General features: G+C 40.2%; 1 long non-coding RNA gene across 1 annotated transcript, besides 1 other annotated feature; it reads right to left on the bottom strand.

Annotated features, from left to right (window-relative positions):
* Positions 1 to 10,339: 10,339 nt before the first annotated feature.
* On the bottom strand, positions 10,340 to 13,222 carry LOC124900878 (uncharacterized). The gene is made up of 2 exons (XR_007058507.1): positions 12,725 to 13,222; positions 10,340 to 11,328 (listed from the first exon to the last, which is right to left on the bottom strand). It is a non-coding gene; the product is annotated as an uncharacterized LOC124900878 (long non-coding RNA).
* Positions 10,900 to 12,099: an enhancer, noted in NCBI's record as "MED14-independent group 3 enhancer chr4:188049269-188050468 (GRCh37/hg19 assembly coordinates)". NCBI's record gives its function as "activates an origin of replication core promoter dependent on BRD2, BRD4, P300/CBP and CDK7 cofactors, and independent of MED14, by STARR-seq in HCT116 cells {active_cell/tissue: HCT116}" and the evidence as "EXISTENCE:reporter gene assay evidence [ECO:0000049][PMID:35650434]".
* Positions 13,223 to 22,151: the final 8,929 nt, after the last annotated feature.

Below are 22,151 nucleotides of genomic sequence, written 5' to 3'. Positions count from 1 at the left end.
CCTTCCATCTTCAAAGCCAGCAACAGCTGTCAGTCCTTCTCACACCGTCTTCTTCTGATGCTGACTCTTCTGTCTATCTCTTCCTCTTCTGACGCCTTCTTCTTCCTCATTTAAAAGATTTGCCACTACGGTTTGCCCACCTAGATAATCCAGGATAATCTGCATGTTTAAAGTAAGTCGGTTAGCAAATTTAATTTCATCTGCTACTTTAATTCCCAGGTTGTGGGGATTAGGACACGGATACTTTTGGGAGGCCATTGTTCTGCCAACCACAAACATGCACAGATACACCCCACTTGAATGCAACTGTAAAACAGAGATTCAGAAGGTAATTATTTTTACCCACAGATGGAACGTATTTAAAGATCAGCGATTGTTGCTGTATTTGAGCACCTGCATCACCTATGGTATGCAAATGAACATCACTTTTTATAATAGATATAAAGGGATATTGAGCTCTAATAAAACCAGTCAGGTGTTATATACACAACTCTGCTGCTCACTGCCCCAGTTTCTGCCTTACTCCACATGAGGGGCTGACCAGCAAACCCTCTTCCAAAAAGCAAACGTAGACCATCATAGTGTGTACACACAAACCCACTTACAGACACACATCTACACACCTAATCAGGTCTCTGGTCCATCGTGGCTGAGGGAGAGAACGCTTTTTCATCCTGATTTCCAGGGATTTAGCTTTCAGTTGCTGCCACAGAATCCACTTCCATGTTGTTTCCTGGGCTGAAGCCCTTCTAATCCCTGTGATGCCTGATTTTGATAAGAAGGTTATGGCTAGACCCGCATTTCAACACTGATAAGAAGGTTATGGCTACACTCACATTTCAATTCCGATAAGAAAGTTATGGCTACATCCACATTTCAATTCTGATAAGAAGGTTATGGCTATACCCTCATTTCAAAGTCCAGGAACTCTCCTCTCTGCCACATGTGTACACACCACGCATCCTCATTCATGGTTGGTTTGCATTCTGAGACTCTCATGTCCCATCAGCCTCTGCATAGTGGGATCTGATGGCCTCTTATGATTGACGTCTTGTCCCCTCTTCTTCCTGGGCATGAGATTCATTTGATTCTAAAACTAAGCAGCTCCAGAATGAGGGTTCTACTCCCCATGAATACAATTCCCTATTGTGAATGCCTGGTTTGAACTATAAAATATCACCAGCTAAATATTCCATCACTTACCCTGACCTTCCCACTGAAGACCAGTTAGAATTTCTACTTTTGAGAAGCTTGGAAATGACAAGTTGATAGGAAAAGGGGCTTAGGGACCTGCTTTGAAGCTGCAGTGACAAGCACACGGTTGTCATGTAGATAATCTGCAGTGGCTTGGGAAAGAGGCCAGGGCCCTTCAGCAGCCCTCTCTCCTTCACTGTCTCTGCTTCCTTCTACCATCATAAGCCCCAGGCACCAAGAAATAGCCTAAACTCTTTTTAGTCTTTTTGGTCCACCATGATCTTAACTCTCACTGGATCTTAACTCTCAGACTTCAAGACATTCTGAAGATAATGAAATAATGATTACAACAATAGCAGTAGTTTAGGATACATGAGCAGTTCTACACGCACTAAGAAGTATTCCTAAAACCGACCCATGACATCTTGTCCGATCCTCACAAAACTCCACGAGATATGTGCTGTGTTTATCTCTAGATTAAAGGTGAAAAAACAGAATTAGATTAATTTGCCCAGCTAAAAAATGATGGAGATAGTATTTGAGGCCTGATCTCAGATTTCAGAACCCAGATTCTAAAATTGCTATGCAACACTGCCTCCAATGGCATCTTAATTACAGTCCCATTGGAAATAATCAGCCAAACTTTCTTGAGTCATAATAGGTGACAGTATCTGGATTATTCAAAGAAACACAATGTGTTTGGGGAGGAGTTTTTTTTTTTTATTTTAAGTTCTAGGGTACATGTGCCCAACATGCAGGTTTTTTACATATGTATACATGTGCCATGCTGGTGTGCTGCACCCGTTAACTCATCATTTAGCATTAGGTGTATCTCCTAATGCTATCCCTCCCCCCTCCCCCCACCCCACAACAGGCCCTGGTATGTGATGTTCCCCTTCCTGTGTCCATGTGTTCTCATTGTTCAATTCCCACCTATGAGTGAGAACATGCAGTGTTTGGTTTTTTGTCCTTGCGATAGTTTGCTAAGAATGATGGTTTCCAGGGGAGGAGTTTTTAAAAAGGCTGGCATGAGCAACTCCTCCTGCTCTTGCCTCCCAGGATGATCATTTCACCTCTTTGGGCTTCTCTTTGGGAGCAGAAGGATTGAGCCCCCTAATATTTGAAGTTCCCTTTAGTACTAACATTTTAAAATGTAATAAACCACTTTGATCAGCAAGTAATAACTACCTAATTTCTGCCTTTCATAAACTTACAATTTATTTTTTGAGACTACAGGGCTTTAAAAGAGACTCTCACGTTCCCCCAAAGAGGCTGCAGTGGCTGTGATCGTGAAGTGAGAAGCCTCTGGTCCTCCTGGTGTGGTGCTCTTGGAGCCGCACAGCTGCATGGCGGAACTAAACAGACTCAAGAAACCTGGGTTTATTTATGTGTAAGTGACGAGACTGATTTCTTCTTTGGATCATGGACATTTCTTTGGGGATCTCATAACAATATCTCAGATTTTGATTCTTAGAGTATTCTGGAGCACTTATTGCATTTTTAGTACATTGGTTTTGGGGCTTAATATCTTGCTTACATAAATGAATTTCTAGCATGGCTATTGGGAAGAAAATCATATTTATTACACAATGAGTTTTGTTCTTTTGGTAATACAAAAGGAGTTACACCAGCAGAATTTACTCTGTCTTAAATAACGTGCTAACCTTAAAACAGCTGAAAAATGTCAAACTCCTTAGGCAGGTAAATCCACTAAAAATTTTATCCATCTGAGAATTTAAGACACTGCCATAAATATGTACTAAACACAAATTATGTACCAGGCTTAGCTTTAGGCACCTGGGATGTATGTGAGTGTACAAAAGAGAAGAATGGCCCCTGTCTAATAAGTTTCATGTTTCAGGACAGAGCAACACATTCAGGCAGCCTTGGATGAAGGGGTGTGCCCTGCAGATGCTCTGTGTGGGAAGGAAGAGGTGGCAGGCTGCCCTTTCGCAGTCTCGCTCTTCCCTGAACCTGTTTCTCCCTTGCCTTCTATTGTACTTCGTAATAGATCTTTTCATGTGTTTGTTCATTATCAATCATCACACTAGCCTGTAAGCCTTAAAAACACAGGTAACTTATCTATGGTGGCCACTGATGCAAATTCATGTCCTAAAACACTGACTGGCACACCACAGATGCCCAAGAGTTATTTGTTGAAGAAATGAGTAGGCGCCTCTGCCTCTTTACCCACTACTGGCTGCTCTTCTTCTTGGCTTCAGCCATCCTCGGTGGTCCAAGTCTTCTTTAGAAGGTGATCAATGAGGGAAAGCTATTAGCATTTTGTACCTGTGGGTCTCATGGCCTTTATTTCTTCATCCATAAAATGAGAGTAATAATGGTTTTTATAGCAATCTACTGCCATGTAACAAATGCCTCCAAAATACAGAGGCTTCAATGATTAAAAAAAAAAAAAAACTTATTATTTCACATTGTTTCTATGGGTCTGGAATCTGGGAGTGGCTTAGCTGGATGGTTCCAGGATCTACTTGTCAGGTTCTCTCTTTGACATTGCCTTGAGGAAAGCGGTAAGCTGAAGTCACATGAAGGCTTGCCTGGGGATGGAGGATTTGCTTCCGGGTGGCTCCCTCACTGCTTGGCACGTTAGTGCGGGTGGTGGACAGGAAGCCTTGATTCCTCAACATGCGGTCTTCTTCACGGAACTGCTTGCGGGCCCTAGTGACATGGCACCTGGCCTCGCTCTGAGAGTTATCCAAGGGAAAGCAAGGCAAAAGCCATGACGGCTTTTATGACCTGGCATTGGAGGCCACGTGCCATCATTTCTACAAAATCCTACAGGTGAGAGAGGTCAGCCCTATTCACTGTGAGAGGCGACTATATCAAGGCACAAATACCAGGGGAAGGAGATCCCTGGGAGCCACCTTTGAGTCTGTCTATCGTAGATACTAAGTAGGAGGTTGTCTGTACTTAAACAAATAGTGTACGTGAAGTACCTGGCATGGTGCCGTAGGCAGTTAGGAAATGTTAGCTCCTCTTAGTTGCTCAGGTTTGTTGAGCTTTTTTCATTTTATTAAAAGATTATCTCCAAGTAATCTGTAGAAGTCGGCATTTGTCTATGGAGCTGATAGAGCTTTCTCATTCATTCATTCATTCATTCAACAAGTCTGCTGTCCTCAGATGTTGTGGAACAATGACAACCTTATCCACCTAAAATATAAATTCCTGGCACTAAGTACATGATGAAATAATGACCCCCAAATTTCTGGCCTATCCTTGTGGTCAGAATGCCCTATTTCTTCACACCTGTGCAATGATACTATCTCCTGGCATCCCAGAACAAATCTGGGGTGTGTCAATGGTAAATAAGTTGGGAACTTGACAACTTTAACCCTTTCAGCATTAATTAGTCAACGTTAGTTGCTGTCATGCCTCCAGTCTTTCTACATGCAGAGAGAAATCTCTCATGCCCTTAGCCTGGGTGCAGCGGGAGCAACGTGCTGTAGAGCACTCAGGTGGCCTGTGGGGATTGGGCATGACTAACATGGATTTGTGCAGAAATAAAAGGCATGAAGAAGACGATGTGAACAACTCTGTAACTGGGGACTGAAGACCAAGCTTGGGACATAGGAGGAATAAAACCCTTCTAAAATGAATTTTTCACTGAACCAGAAATAAATTAGTAGGAAAAGAAGAAATTTTGCAAACCTCATTTATCTTGTTTTTTTCACATTTTGGGCTGCTTAAGAGACTATTTCCTTTAAGCATTACTTTGCACATTGAAGAAAATAATCATAAGCTTCCCCCAAGGCCAGAACCTGTTCAATTCTGTATTGCCAGCAAGTAATGCCACAGGAGTAAAGGTCTCACTCTGGGGAGCTAGCAGACTAGACTTCCGCTGGAATGCTGGGAGAAGCAGGATGCTGAGTCAATAGCAAGTACCAAGTTTAATTTGATGTTTTCCACGCACAATCAAAATCGTGGTTTTTCCTAACTGTAAAGCTATTGCCTCCTCTGCTTTCTTTTATGGGTTCCCTGTAGAGTGTGTGTTATGCTTTGATATTTGAAATTGATCGTGTAGGTTCTATTTCAAGGGTAATAATAAACCTAGTGCAAAAGTTGGGATTAGCAAAGGGACTATTAACCTTTCTTCTAATACTGTCAATTTATTTTGCCTTGTGGCACAAACTGATTCCCAGTATGATCTGCTGATAACTTTGATTTAAATATAGCTATAGATAAAGAGTATAAAAGTGGAAGAAAAATTGTTGTCTGAATTTTTGTGAGGAAATATTCCACATTATGTCCAAATTATTAATGCAACATTTTTTTCATTAAATAATGTATATGCAAATAAATACTTTTCATTATTTGTCATTTAGGTATGAACACATATAGAATCTCCTACTTCTCATTTACATAAATATTCCATATTATGTCCAAATTATTAATGCAACATTTTTTCATTAAATAATGTATATGTAAACAAATACCTTTCATTATTTGTCATTTAGGTATGAACACATATAGAATCTCCTACTTCTCATTTACTTATGAGGGTAAACATCAACATACTAAGACATCTGAAGTAATTTTAAGATCAAAATGATTCTTACCATGGTATGGTAATAAGTTAAACTTAAGCTTTGGAATTAGGTAAACCAGATTTGCTGCCTTATCTTGGGCAAGTAACTTAATTTCAGCCTCAGTTTCTCTAACTGCAAAAAGAAATAAGAATCCCTGCCATTTAGTTCTGTGAAGGTTAAACTGGTTAATACCTACGACACCTAGAACAGTACTAGGTGAACGTTGACTAAAATGAGAATTCTCCTCTCTCTTTTCTTATACAGTTCTTACAAAATAACTGATGGTTTTGTTGTTGTTTAGTTCTAATTTTTTTCAATTCTGGATCTAAAGGAGGCCGGGTATATTCTTATTTGCTACAAAAGATTTCCTTCAAATGATACACTGGCAAGGTGACAGGTGAATGGTCTGGTTGGGAAACATGTCTCTCAACATTTTCTTGTCATTTTCAAATGTGGATGTAATTGGATTACAACTGGTTCCGCACTAACAAAATCATTTACAGCAATTATAACTGTTCTTTAATATGGCAGCTTTTACTGTGTTCCTCATGACCTGTAATTACCTCAACTAGAAGTCCAAGTAAATTTCATTATTATAATTTTAAAAGTCTTTATGTCCAGAATAATTGGTTAGTCATAAAAACCATAAATTACCTAACACAAGATTTTGGAAAGAATGAGATTTGACATTTCTTATACATTCTCCTACTGCATCACATATATGTGATGTAAGAATTGTGTCTTGATAAGTTGCAGCCGTTCTCAGTCATTATATACCTGGTGTTAAGTTTCCAAAATTAGGATTAAAAATGTATCCAACAGGGACCACATGGGAACATCAGACCCTGGAGCAGCTTGTCATTAGCATTACTTAGAAATCCCTAACTGGACAAGGTGCGGTGGCTCAACGCCTGTAATCCCAGCACTTTGGGAGGCCAAGGCAGGCAGATTGCCTGAGCTCAGGAGTTCGAGACCAGCTTGACCAACATGGTGAAACCCCATCTCTACTAAAACACAAAAAATCAGCCAGGCATGGTGGCGCGCATCTGTAATCCCAGCTACTCAGGAGGATGAGCCATGAGAATTGCTTAAACCTGGGAGGCAGAGGTTGCAGTGAGCCAAGATCGTGCCACTGCACTCCAGCCTGGCTGACAGCAAAATTCTGCAAAGAAGGAAGGAAGGAAGGAAGGAAGGAAGGAAGGAAGGAAGGAAGGAAGGAAGGAAGGAAGGAAGGAAAGAGGGAGGGAGGGAGGGTAGAAAGAAAGAAAGAAAGAAAGAAAGAAAGAAAGAAACAAAAAGAAAGAAAGAAAGAAGGAAAGAAGGAAATTTATATCTGAAGGGAACTTCGATTCTCATGGGTGGAAAATAGGTATACATGTAGGTAGGCTGGAGCAACCTTGCTGAAGTGAACAGATGCTATATCAGTCCTTTTTTGTGTCCAAATAGAATATCCAGTCATTCATTTCTTCATATTTTGCTCATTAGAGGAGAGAGAAATGCAATTCATTTAAAGATTTAAGAAAACAATTTTGAAAAAAACTCAAAGCTCCAGGAAACTCAGGTAATAGTGGTCCCTGAGAAAGAGAGAACAGAAGCATTATCTTTTCCTGAAAACTACTGAGGTGAATAACAATCCTTATTCACAATCATAAAAGACCTAAGCTTTGGAACACTTAATTAGCTTAAAAACATGAAGGACAGACACAATGAGGTTTTTTATTGAACAGTCTCTCTGTATGAAAGACAATAATATATATTGAGGGCTATAGCCTATGTGTGATGCTTTTGGCAATATCTTGATGGGAATGATTTAGAATGATGTCTTGATTTGGAATGCAAATTCTTATAGTAACATATTTAAAGCACTGTATGTATCTTGCCCATGGTACATATTTGGGTTAAGCAGTAAAAAAAGAAGGCCTGCAACGGAAATGAAGCATATAATTTTAACAATAAATTAATAAGTAGAAACTGCTGATGAACTCAACTCAGTAAAATGTCCTTTGATGTTAATCCCTGGTAGTCGTCTCCTTGAATTTGATGCCTTACAAGTGCTCAGAAGCTAATGGGAAATGGGGGCCTTCTTCATGACTATATTGGAGCTCCCATATGGAGTGCTAACATGGGTTTGACTTCCACCCAATCCTCTTGCTCAGCAGATTCTGTAATATCTCTTTCTCCCTAGATTTTCTGGCTTGTCTATGAAACACTTTTCTCCAAATATATAAAATTTTTTGCTTAAAAAACTAGAAAGTAAAAAGATAGTATTTTTGTTAAAGGAGTGGCTTAGGGAGCTGCAGGTGGGCTTAGTAAAATGTTGGCATAAACTAAAAAAAGTTTTCTTATTAGAAACTTATTTGACAACTCAAAAGTCTGGGTATGTGTGGACAGATTTTGTAAACTCAGGGTTGGGACTGCAAGAGAAAAGAATTTTGCTCCCTTGGGCTTGGTTACAGTGACAACATTCTTAGGTTTTTTCCTGTCCATGAGTATGGAATGTTCTTCCATCATCTGACAAAGGGCTAATATCCAGAATCTACAAAGAACTCAAACAAATTTACAAGAAAAAAACAACCCCATCAACAAGTGGGCGAAGGATATGAACAGACACTTCTCAAAAGAAGACATTTATGCAGCCAAAAGACACATGAAAAAATGTTCAACATCACTGGCCATCAGAGAAATGCAAATCAAAACCACAATGAGATATCATCTCACACCAGTTAGAATGGCGATCATTAAAAAGTCAGGAAACCACAGGTGCTGGAGAGGATGTGGAGAAATAGGAACGCTTTTACACTGTTGGTGGGACTGTAAACTAGTTCAACCATTGTGGAAGACAGTGTGGCGATTCCTCAGGGATCTAGAACTAGAAATACCATTTGACCCAGCCATCCTGTTACTTTGTGTACCAAAGGAATATAAATCATGCTGTTACAAATACACATACACACGTATGTTTATTGCGGCACTACTCACAATAGCAAAGACTTGGAACCAACCCAAATGTCCAACAATGATAGACTGGATTAAGAAAATGTGGCACATATACACCATGGAATACTATGCAGCCATAAAAAATGATGAGTTCATGTCCTTTGTAGGGACATGGATGAAGCTGGAAACCATCATTCTCAGCAAACTATCACAAGGACAAAAAAACAAACACTGCATATTCTCACTCTTGGTGGGAATTGAACAATGAGAACACTTGGACACAGGAAGGGGAACATCACACTCTGGGGCCTGTTGTGGGGTGGGGGGAGGGGGAAGGGATAGCATTAGGAGATATACCTAATGTTATGTACACATATGTAACAAACCTGCACGTTGCGCACATGTACCCTAGAACTCGAAGTATAATAAAAATATATGTATATATATAAAGAACATTCTTAGGTTTTTTATTGCATGAAAATGTCACAATTTTCTATGATTTATGAATACAGACTCATTGATTTCCTAGGAGCCAGAACTGACAGCGACTCCTGCTACTGCTGCTTAGTGTGTGACACCTTCCCTCTCTAAGCCTTAGTTTCTTCCTCTGGAAACTGAAGCCATAATATAGTACCTATGCTTCATGTTGTGAGAACCAGGTTGGATTTTCTCGCGCAGTGCAAAGCACAGTGCTTGGTGCATACTACGTGTGCAAAACTTCTTTGTTCTTTTTACTATTTGTCTTAATGCATTCTGGCGGCTGTAACAAAATACCTTTGACTGGGTAATTTATATACAACAGAAACTTATTGCTCACAGTTCTGGAGGCTGGGAAGTCCAAGATCAAGGTGCCAGAAGATTTGGTGTCTACTGAGAGCTAGTTCTTCATAGATGGCACCTTCTATGTGGTAAAAGGGCATATGCTCTGTCAGGCCTCTTTCATAAGAACACTAATCCTACCCATGAGGGCTCCACCCTCATGACCTACTCACCTCTCAAATTCCCCACCTCTTAATACCAACATGTTGGGAATTAGATTTCAGCACATGAATTTTGGGGGGACACAAACACTCAGAACATAGCACTGCTATTCTCAGGAGATGTTGGCTGTTTTCAGTTCTGTTCTGATGAACTCTGATAGTATTCTTACCTTCCCATTGGCAGCTTTAATCTGTGCACACTACTCTTCCCCACACTTGTAGAAACTCAACAAATAAGATCTGTGGCTTCCTAGAGCTCCCAATCTAGTGGGAGTTACAAAGGTAACTTCAAAACAACAATGTGGATGAGAATTATTGGAGCAGAGATATGAAATTGTTAACTTTAGGAGTACTGGAGGCAGGACTGGCTATATCGTTTGTGAGTCCAGTGCAAAATGAAAATGCTGGGCCCCTTCTTCAAATTTCAAGATGACAACAGCAGAGAAATAAACCATTCATCCGGTGGGCTCTTCTGAGCTTGAAGCCCTGTGTGACATCAGTCACACATCTGAGTGGCTCATCCTGATTGGATAGGCACATTTATTTCATGCAAAAAAATTAGAGAAGTTTTACCGTTTGAAGATGTAGGTGCTGAGCTAGACTTTGAAGGATGGAAAGAACTTTGAAAAGTTGGGTAGAGCAGCCCAGGCATATGATAAAACATGTGCCATTTTTAAATTCCCATACAATTAAAAAATTAAGTGAGATTTATTGGGTCAAAGTGATTTGACAATCAGGAAGGAAAGGGAGATGGAAAGACTGTACTACTGAACTTCAATTATCTATTAACAAGAAGCAATCCGAAGAATTTTAAGAATAGACACAAGATTAGATCAATTTAGGGAGATGTCTGTGGTGGCAGAAAGACAGATGGATTGATTCTTGTGTTGGAGTCACAGGCAGCAGGGACCACGGTGGGTGAAAGCAACGCATTCCTTAACTGGGAAGTGGCAGCAATCTTCTTTTTACCTCTATTTCTCTGTAGTCTATTAGTCTATGTATTTTTTTTTCCACATGAAACAAGGGTCTGTTTCTGCTTGGAAGACATCTTCAATTACACAACGCAGGCAAAAAAAAAAAACAACAACAACAAAAAAAAAACTGGAATAATGGAATTTTAACCAGAATTCTTTTTTTCTCTGTTGACAGCCTTTCAGGGACATCTCCATTCTGGTTATAGAAGGAGACCCTGAAGTCACCCAAATGTGCATTCAAAATGTATCACCTTTCCTTGGCCTTTCAAACAGACTAGTATTCCAGAAAAACCATGTCATTTTGCATTCCGGGCAACGCTTTGAAGACGTCATGAATGAAACACTTGCCCTATTCATCCCCGAAGAGAAGTGCAGGTCTGTGCACGCTCTGTCTGTCTGTCTCTCATCCTGACAAACTGTCTTCAACAGTGGGAAATTAAAACCTTCTTCCTTCCTTTTCTGTTTTTCTTATAATAACTCAGCCTTGAGTCAGAGGTACATGCTCAGCCTCCCGAAAGTGCTGCTGTCACGGAAAGGAAGATCCTTTTGTTCCCTAATTTATCATCTCTTAAAGGAAGCTACAAAGTTCAGGATGACGGGATAGAATCAGCCATCCACTTAAACTGGAGCATGCACGCAGGGAACTGGATTTTAATACCTGTAAGATGCAGAGATAGAATTTTATCCATGTCGCAGATTCTGAGAAAACAAGAAAAAGTGGTGAATGTACTTTAATGTTGTAAGAAAGCATAAAAATCCAAATTTTTTAAGGAACAATACTCCATAAAGTAAACATTTAGAACTTTTTTTTTGATCCCCAATTAAATTTTACTGTCTGTGTTAAACTACGTAAATGATGTAACCCTTTCCAGGTCTCAGAGTCCTTACCTGCGACAAGAACAGATGCTTGCTGAGACCCCTCCTGCAGTAGGGCACAGGGTTAGCACTCTCTGGCTGGGTGCATCTATGTATCAGATGCCCATATAGTAGTAGGATAAGAGGATCTACATTCCTGCCCAAATATGTGCCCACACAACACCAGTACCTTTGAGCGTGGCACTTATATCGCTAAATGTCTGTATTTCTCAGATGAAGGGAGTTGTCCTTGTTATTTTCTCCCGGATACTGTGCGGATGACACAGCATCCTCGGGTAATTAACATTCCTCTAACCCTGTGTAACCGGGGTAGGACGGAGTCAGCAGCTGCCAGGTCAAGTACAATCAGAGAGTGAGAGGGGCATCCTCAGAGGCATCAAGAAATGCGTGCATTTCCAGGGCTCCAAGAACGGGCCTGCACGGCTCTTTAGGAATTTCCTCTGTAGGTCTAATTAATACGTCTAACCAGATCTTAATATACTCTCTTCATTTTTGTTGATTTTTTTTTTTTTTCAGACGGAGTCTCGCTCTGTCGCCCAGGCTGCAGTGCAGTGGCATGATCTCGGTTCACTGCAACCTCCGCCTCCCTGGTTCAAGTGATTCTCCTGCCTCAGCCTCCTGAGTAGCTGGGATTACAGGGACACGCCACCATCCCCAGCTAATTTTTGTATTTGTAGCAGAGACGGGGTTTCACTATGTTGGCCAAGATGTTCTCTATCTCCTGACCTCGTGATCTGTCCACCTTGGCCTCCCATAGTGCTAGGATTACAGGCATGAGCCACCGCATACGGCCCATTTTCATTGCTTTTTAAAAATATGACCATTCACTTTTTACATTTCTTATGTCACACACACACACACACACATCAAAAAGTGTCTCATATTTGCACTGAAATGATTTTTGTTTAGGAATACACACGGCAAGGGAACCAAATAGGATGGGCTCTGGGAAATGTCTGCTATCTAGAGTCTGGATTGTGGAAAAGGGTCTGCACCAAGACTCAGATTGTGCCAGACAGGGAAGTTAGTGAGTCATGTAGCAGGTGCCCTCCCATGGCCTGGGAGCAAAGCCCTCTCGGGTGACCACAGGCCCAGCAGGGGCAGGTCGTGAGAGTGAGTGCAAGTATAGAGAGTTGTTAGCATTTGCTGCTTCCTGGTGAAGGGTTATCAGGTGAGGATGAGTGGGTCCCTTAGAGCACCAGTGACTTTTGGGAATTACCTGCAAGAAGGTACCAAGAATAACCCCCAACTTCTGTCACTGAACTACAGGAAAGTAGCAAGAAGTTGCACCAGTAAGGGGCAAGAATGCTATAACGAGGTGTTTGAGCATGTTGACAACCATGGCGCCGGGGATGTCTTTTCTGAAGATTTTCCGGTTACTGAAACATGAGAGTTCAGATTTCTAACACCAAGAATAATAGAACTGCACATAAGCAATATGCCTCACAGTCGACACCCTTGCCTGGGTCACTTCCCTCCTTTTCCATGAATACTGAAAACAAGGTTCTCAAGGAGGCTTAGTGACCTGCCCTGAGTCACTGAGATACAGGATGCAGAGCTAACAGACCCCATAGCTTAGAAGGTAAGAGTCTCGTTGTTTCCATTTACCACTCACGTAACTGTGGTTTTCTTAGAGGACACATCTTTCCATTTTCTTTAAACCACTCACTTGGTTTGTAAAAATAACATAGATCACTTGTAACATGCTTTAGTTAGAATATCGTGCGTGTATAGAAACACGATGGAGGGAAATCCCTCTTGTTTCTTCTCTTTGTAATTTCCTTTGAAGATAATAATACATTTGGGCCTGTAATTATTTCTGTTTTTATTTCTTTTACCTCTTACTATTTATAGCATGGCTAAGTGGAAAGAGGGAGAAGGAGAGAGAGAGAGACAAAAGAAAGAAGGAAGGAAGGAAGGAAAGAAAGAAAGAGAGAGAGAGAGGGAGGGAGGGGGGAAAGAAGGGAGGAAGGAAAAGAGAAAGGAAGGGAAGGAAGAAGGAAATGAAGGAATTTGTATAATTTAGGAATTTATAGTAGAAGGGATAAAACAGTTCAATTCAAAGAGTTGCTTGTATTTGGTGATTTAAGCAAAATGTATAAATCACTAGTCATGAGTTTTAATTTCAACTCCGTGACCAATTCAATATGGCAATCATTTGCATTAGAGCCATTGTGTACATTTTAATTGAAGAACCAGCAAAGTTGTTTTGTGTTGTGTTGTTTTCTCATGTTGTTGCATATCTGTACACTCCCATTTTTTAAAAAAACTAATACTCCTTTTTTCTCGTTTAATATTTGCATTTCTTTAAAACACACGGGCTATGTAGCATCCTTCTCTCCTTTGCACCTTTGCTGTCTTGCTGGAGAAGGTCATACTCCTTACAGTGTTTGTCTCTCTCTTGAGATTTGATTCCAACTGGGCAGCAGGACTGAGCCAAGCCCGGGGTGTCTGACAACCTCTGCGAGCAGGAGAGGCTGCGGATGCTGGCAGGCTCAGAAAAGCGTGGACTGGTGCGTATTGGCATATGCAGCCACTAACGGATACGCCTTGGGTTTCTCCTCCTTTTCTGATACGGTGCTTTATAGTCCTTTCAATTTCGTGACCTGCTTGGGCTCATTCAGGCTTGGTGTGGAGCTGGCTCAGAAACATTCAGACACACCCACGGTCAAGTCCAAGCGGAAAGCTTTAGAAGAAACTGTTCTAAATCGGTTTCTTTGGCGGTCACTGTGGCTCTTCTTCATCAAAGAGGAAGAACATTTTCAATCAACACATTTCAAACATACGAAACATTGCAGGGATATAAAAACAGCCCTCTCGGTCCTGGGTCTACTATTTATTAATGCTGTGAAGAAGGACAAATGGCCACTCCTCTCCGAGTCGGCTTTCTCTTCCGTAATGGTGAGTGACAAGAACACCCCAGCAAGATTATATAATCATTTTATAAAACGACACATAACATTTGGGGTACACAGTAAAGTACTGGGACATTATTGAAGTATTAGGATATTAGACATTTGTAAGTATCCACATTAGGATTTTTTTACTTTTAACAATGGCAGCTTTGATATCATTTGAACACTTTTAAAATAATACCATAAGAAAAGCCATCTTCTACAAAAATATAGTTAATGCCAAGTGGTTCTTATAAATGCCATTTCTCTTCTGAGATGACCTCTCATCTCTATTGCTTAAATCATGTTGTTTACACTTTTGTTGACATGTGTGAAACTGTTAAATCAAGGTTAGCCCTGAGCTGCCTCCTTACACATTTAAGTTCGGCCTAAAGGCTTTTCTGCACCTCGTGAACGATAACAGGTGGAGGCGTAACCGACCGTAGCCGACACCTGTGCCAGTCACCGAGTTTCGGCCAATCAAATGTAGCCAGCCGTTGAAACCGTGTTCGCAGAAGGCAAACGCCGAGCTGCCACCCATCCAGCTGTTTCTGTACCTCACTTCTGTTTTCTGTTCCTCATGTTCCTTTTTCCATAAATCTTCCCCCGCATGGCTGCGCTGGGGTCTCTGAGCTTACCATGGCTGAGAAGGCCGCCCGATTCACAAATTGTTCATCACTCAATTAGACGCCTTTAAAGTTAATCCAGCTGAAGTTTTTCTTTTATCAAAACCAAGGCTAATTTTTTGTCTAATTTAAAATATATGGAATCAAAAGTATGTAAAATCAATTTAATGCTAATTAGCTTGATTGTGGTGATTATTTTACAATGTATACATATATCAAAATATCACGTTGCACACGTTAAATACATTTTTATTTGTCAATTATACCTCAATAAAGCTTAAAAAAGAATTCAAAAAGGAAACATAATAAGAATAATAAAATATACAACAGTAGTGCAGAATACTTATTTATGCATATTTCTGGTCAATCAGGTGTGTTTAAAAGAACCATCTTAGTTTTTGATCCTTGCTGTTACCAGAAAACTCGAAACAGAAATATAGCCCCAGGGGGTAGATATTCAAATGGATCTGTTTGTGTAGCTCCCATTAGTGATCTGAAGTATATAAAATATGTATTAAAAGGTTTCCCTGTGCTCACTCACCCCTCCACGACCTCTGCTCAAGCAGCATACAACAGCTGGCTGCCCTGTGGGCCAAGCAGTTAAGCTACAGAAAGAAAGCGTTTTTTCTGAAGGCTAAAACAAGCTGCGGAGCGCAGGCTCTCGGGGACCGCCACTTCCAGCTGAGACTTCTGTGTGCAGGAGGTGGACGGCGCTGTCCTCCCTGCTTTCATGACTCTGCAGGCACCAGTGAGAATAACCCAACAAGAACCGCTTTTCTATCGCCAGCAAATGCTACCGTGGGTCCAGAGAAGCCAGAAGTCACAGGGACACCCTGAGTGCAGGAACGGCCCTCTCTGTTACAGGAATGATTCTGTTTTCACCAGCATTGGCCGGGCCTCCTTCCCCATACTGATGGGATCTGAGGGGGGACAATGGGGCAAAGAGTCTGATGAGGCAGACAAAAGGTTGATTCGCCCGCTGTGGCCTGTTACTACTTGGTGCAAACGAGCTATTGAAGCCATCACCCTGAGGTGCAAGAAAAAACAAAGCAGAAAAACCGAGCAAATAGGCTTAGATGGGATGCTAAAATGATGTTTAACACACACACACATCCGAATAGAATTGATTGGTGCATTTTATTTTCAGACATTTTAAATGTTCAAACTGACCTTCGTTTAACCCTCAGAAATTCGATTTATTTCCCACGCGCAACATTTGGACATTTGCATTCCACGTGCGGCTAGGAGAACTTGCTTCCTGCTCCTGTGAATATTAAAATAAAGACACATAAAAAGGAAGACAGGAAAAAGAGAAACAGAGGGAGTGACAAGGGAAGGAAAAAGGAAAAAAAGAGAAGCATTCTTGAAACCAAATAAAATCCTTAATGTCAAGTGGAGTAATTCTACTGTGGGAAGGTCTCCAGGCTGGGGGAGAGTAGGAGGTAGAAGGAAATGAGGAAAGGCAGAGACCACAGGATGTTAGGCTGAGATTTTTCAATCTAAGTAAAACAGTATTTGGCAGTTGATATATGCTATTAAATGCTACCACAGTCAGAATCTTCATAGCGCTCTCTATAGTTCTTTAGCCCCAAACCCACTAAACTTCCATGTATAGTTGACTCTTGAACAATGGTGGGGAGGTGCCAGGGTAGGAGCACCAGCCCCCTGTGTGGTAGAAAGTCCACATATGACTTTTAACACCTTAAAACCTTAGTTACTCATAGCCCACTGTTGACTGGAAGCCTTATCAACGATATAAACAGTCAATTAACACATATTTTATATGTTATATGTGTTGTATACAGCATTATTATAATAAAGCAAGCTAGAGAAAAGAAAATGTTATTTTAAAAATCATAAGGAAGAGAAAATGTATTCACTGTTCATTAAGTGGAAGTGGATCAACATAAAGTTTTCATCCTTGTCATCTTCATGTTAAGTAGACTGAGGAGGAGGAAGGAGAGGGGTTGGTCTTGCTGTCTCAGGGGTGGCAGGGGAAGAGGAAAATTTGCATATAAGGTCACCTGTGCGGTTCAAACCTGCGTTGTTCAAGGGTCAGCTGTATAGAGAAAAGTCATGGAGAAAAAGGTGAGTGCTGTCTAAACACTCTCTTCCTTATTAAAACCTCACTTTTGGAGAAGCCTACATGAGAGCGGATATGTAAACATCTGGAATGGGTGATTAAATGAATATCTCTGATTTTAATCCAAATGCGCAGCCTCGTGTAGTCCTCCAAAAGTGTCTATTGGCAGCAACTCTGCAGCACAGGAAACAAATTTTCTCTTTGGAAAAGAACATACATCTTGTTCTTTGATTTTTGGAGACCCAAGCTTTAGAACTTGTTTATGATCATGACTTAGAAAAGCTCCTCAAGACACTAACAGCCTTGTTACTACCCCCAGGTCTGGCACAAAGCTCAGTGCCAGTTAGATTAGTAAGGTTCGCTCAGCACTGCAGGAGTAAAACTAGAGAGGCCGTGGGTATGGCCTGAGGCCTACCATGCGGGCAGCTCTTCAGGTTGGGTCTCGGGTGTCTGGTAAGGATCTGGAGCAGAGCTGAGCAGAATCTTGTAGAGTTTGCTTGAAGCCCACTATGTAAACACACCCCCGATACACACAATGGGCATGGGATTCTTCCAGGATGTAAAACAAAATATGTGTATTCCTCAGTGCTTAATTTACTACTGAAGGGTGATTTGGCTTCCGGTAGGAATTTAGTTCCGTAACAAGGGAATCATGTTCAGGACAAAGATAGTGTGTAATTTGGGGTTAGACTCCATGACCCAACATAGCAATATCTCTTTATCATTTTTGTTTCCGATCTTGAAGTGGATAGAGTACAAGTGTAAGAAAACAAATGACCTTTTGTTTCCTTCCAACATTCTAAATACTTCGTCTGGGTTTGGGTAAATCTTTCCATTTTCATTGTGTTAGGAAAGATGTTATTATCTTAAATCACTTCACTGTCTCTAAGCCTGATCATCAGATCCACAGTCTCCACATTCTCTTATCATTTCATAAACATATCATGTTCATGTATAAATATATGAACTATTCGTATTTATTTAGCACTCATATTGACTACTATAGTACACTGAAAGGCTTAAAACTTTATATGTGGGCAATATCACATTAAGTATAAGATGGATATCTAGCACGTATGATAGCAGACATACAAACATCTGGAATGGGCGAGTAAATGAATATCCTGGATTAAATGAATATCCAGCATGCTCCTTGTTCTCCACGACTTTTCGCTATACGGTTGACCCTTGAACAATGCAGGTTTGACCTGCACAGGTGCCCTTATAAGCAAATTTTCTTCTGCCTCTGCCACGCTGAGACAGCAAGACAAACCCCTCCTCTTCCTCCTTCTACTTAGTCTACTCAACATGAAGACAAGGATACAGACCTTATGATGATCCACTTCCACTTAATGAATAGTGAATATATTTTCTCTTCCTTATGATTTTTTAAATAACATTTTCTTTTCTCTAGCTTACTTTATTGTAATAATGCCATATATAACACATATAACATACAAAATATGTGTTAATTTACTGTTTATATCATTGATAAGGCTTCCAGTCAACAGTGGGCTATGAGTAGTAAAGTTTTTAAGAAGTTAAAAGTCATATGCGGACTTTTTTATTTTTTCTTGAGATGGAATCTTGCTCTGTCACCCAGGCTAGAGGGCAGTGGCATGATCTCGGCTCACTGCAACCTCCACCTCCTGGGTTCAAGTGATTATTCTGCTTTAGCCTCCTGAGTAGCTGGGATTACAGGCTCACACCACCATGCCCTGCTAATTTTTGTAGTTTTGGTAGAGACAGGGTTTCACCATGTTAGCCAGGCTGGTCTCAAACTCCTGACCTCAGGTGATCCACCTGCCTTGGCCTCCCAAAGTGCTGGGATTACAGGCGTGAGCCATGGGGCCCGGCCCATAGGTCGACTTTCTACTGCACAGAGGGCTACTGCTCCTACCTGCCACAATGATTACTGGTTCATTTTTGCTAAAGAGAATATGGAAAAAGTCAAGTGAGTCTTTGATAGGGACAAGAGTGCTTTGTTCATGAACATAGAAGGACTTCATAAAATCAACTTAGGCTCAGAGGCCAAAAGGTTGTGTTATTGCTATTTGTATTCTTATCTAACATACTGAGAACTTTTCATCACTGTATTAAGTATCGATACAGTTGTAAAACAGCCAATCTTTAGAAAATGTTAAATTGCAGAATAATAATCATCCAATAAATTATATATTATTTTAGGTTGAGAGTGGAAATAAAAAGTACAATTTGTAACAGCTACCTGCAAATTTGCCAACCATCATACAATCATAAAATGTTATTAACTACTTGAAAAGAAGCACTTCAAAGATTAAAGAAATAACTAAAGTAAGTTATTCTCCAAGAAAATAAAGATAGTTGTATGTATTTGTATTATACAGAATCATATTGACGTCTTATTTTCTATATAGTATGAGTGACTTATGGAAGTTAATGACCCTTATCCTTTAGCTCCTCAAACACACACACACACACACACACACACACACACACGCACACACATAATTTTTCCTGGAGACATGCATGGGGCTGTAAGGATTTTTCTTAATCGATATGGAAAGATTCAAATGTGTAGAATCACATTTTCTCTCCCCTCACTTAGAAACCTTTGCATTTTGTGAAGTTAGCAGTTTTATTGATCAAGTTGTTTGTCAGCATAATGAAACAGTTGGTTTATTGAGTTCTTTGGGTAATGAAACCATCATTAACTGTACCAGGGAAGGAAAACTAGACTACAAACTTTCATTACCACATATATTTGATTAAAAAAAGATTTTTTAAACTATATTTTTTCATAGTAAAGATGGTACCAAATGCAGTCATAGAAATATTAATATGGCATAGTATCATGGTATTGGAAAGAAACACAAAATTTATAAAAGTTATTCTCTTTATTTCAGGAAAAACTCTGTCTAACCATGATAGTTTTTACCAGTCTTTAATGAAAGAAGCTGAGCATTTTCCTTGATAATTACCCCTAAAGTCTAACAATATCTCTATTCAAGAGCTCCTATTACATGTAATTTTTTTAAAGTCCAATTTTTACCAGTTTCTCCCAGAAGAGAAATAATTGGTTTCCATTCTCTGAACGACTTAGAAGTCTTCCAATGAAGTGTTTATTCTTATAAGTGTGAGGGTAGGTCTCCAATCACGGCCTGGCCTCCAAGCAGAGACTCCATTCAACTGGGTCATGCCTGTTAGTCTCTTGCGATGGGGTAGGAGAAAGAATCCCATATAAATAACTAATCATCGTTAAATCAGTCACATATAACATGAAATAATTCGACAGATGAAAAATTTAATGAATTGTGTGTCAGTCTAGTTTTTTTGGTTCTATAATTATATCAATTATACATCAATTATAATTACATCTATATATATAAAACTATAACCAACGTATATTTTTGTTGTTGGCCCCATTGATAGGAAAGCATTTAAGGCTTTAAAGAGTGGCTTCAAAAGCAGTAAGATGTTGTTTTGTGCAGAATTCTAACAGACACCCAAATCTTGTCTTGGCACAGCCACCCTTCTCTAATGGAATGCCTAAGGGATACAGATGAAAGGTAAATCCAAATGCCAGTTCATTATTAATTGGGCTAGACCCCAAATTCTAACTATTTGTAAATCAAACTGGAACAGGTTGCTTAGATTAGACCTAATAATCTAATCCTTCTCCCAAGAACGAATCTTACCACAAGATGACAACAAAATGAAAGCAGCCAGCATTCACATGTAAAGAAAAGAAGAGAGCAAGGACAGATACCTGCTGGCTTTCTTTCCGAGCCTGTCCCATGAAGTAGGAAGCCAATGAGACTTACTTATTTAGTAAGTAAATGTAGCCAGTCTTCTACTGCAGTCTTCTTCTTCTGAGCCAATTAGGTTAGTATTCCATTCACTCAGAGAAAAACAAGGAAAGTAGTAGATACAGGAGCAGGAACCTCACCTCGTCCCTTGCAGGATTGTTGAGTGCTGGAAAATGCAGGCCTATTCTCTCACCCTGCACCTAGAATACTCTGCTGAAGCAGAGGAAGGCATCAGCTCCCATCCAGGATAGTTCACCTAAGACCATCTCACATGCCTTGCACACAACAACCAAAGGCAGAATCAGGAAACCTTCAGACAGAGTCCTAACCATCTGGGGATGATCTCCAACAGAGAAATTCCAGGGCAATGATCTAGAGTTGTGATTCTTTGCTCTGTAGATAAAAATTCTACTAAAAGAAAACAATTTTGTCATTATTTCCTACTGCTGTCAATTAGACTGTGCATTCCTTGGAAGGAAGATCTATTCTTACTGTTATCTGTGTGCCTGGCAATAAATGTTTGATGAATGAATGGAGCAGTCAGAGGAGATACCCAATTAATTTTCACAGTAAGGGTCATGGAGAGGAGAGGCATTTGAAGAAAGCTGCACAACCAAACACATTAAATACAACAATTTTTCATTCTGATTTGTAAGCTGAAGATAATGATACAAAATATTTGCATATTTTATTAATTACACATAGACGGCTGTTATTCAGCTTCATGTTATGAGGTAATAGGAAGATGCAAAAGAGGAGAGAATCCATCAAGTAGAGTTACAAGGGGTTCTGCATATTACTAAGCATGTTTTTTAAGTTTCTAAGCTACAGAAGGTATGTAAGTTATTAGAGGAATAATTTTAAGGGGAGACATCACGGCTTCCATCTTTAACATGAAGTCTGTAGATATGCGTCCTGTCCTTCAATACAATGTCAGGCATACGCCTGGCATTGTGCCAGACACCAAAGATGAGAGATAAATAGAGCACAACTCCTGGCCTCACAGAGGTCCCATTCTAGCTAGGTTTCAAACAAATCCATGGGAACGTGGGAAAGGAAGTATTGTTTTTATGTGTGCATCTAGATGACTAGGAGGAGAAAACATTTTTATAAGATCTGAAGTATAATGAAAATATTTCCCCATGTTAACTTTGGCTGGAGGGATGTATGTTAGGCCAAAGTTAGATGGTATGGTCCAAATGCTGGTGGCCCCCAAAGTCTGTATGTTGTAACCTAATACTTGATACAATGGTAT

This window comes from Homo sapiens, chromosome 4 (assembly GCF_000001405.40).
Source record: "Homo sapiens chromosome 4, GRCh38.p14 Primary Assembly".
Classification (NCBI taxonomy): Eukaryota; Metazoa; Chordata; class Mammalia; order Primates; family Hominidae; genus Homo; species Homo sapiens.
This window is presented reverse-complemented; position numbering and strand designations above follow the sequence as displayed.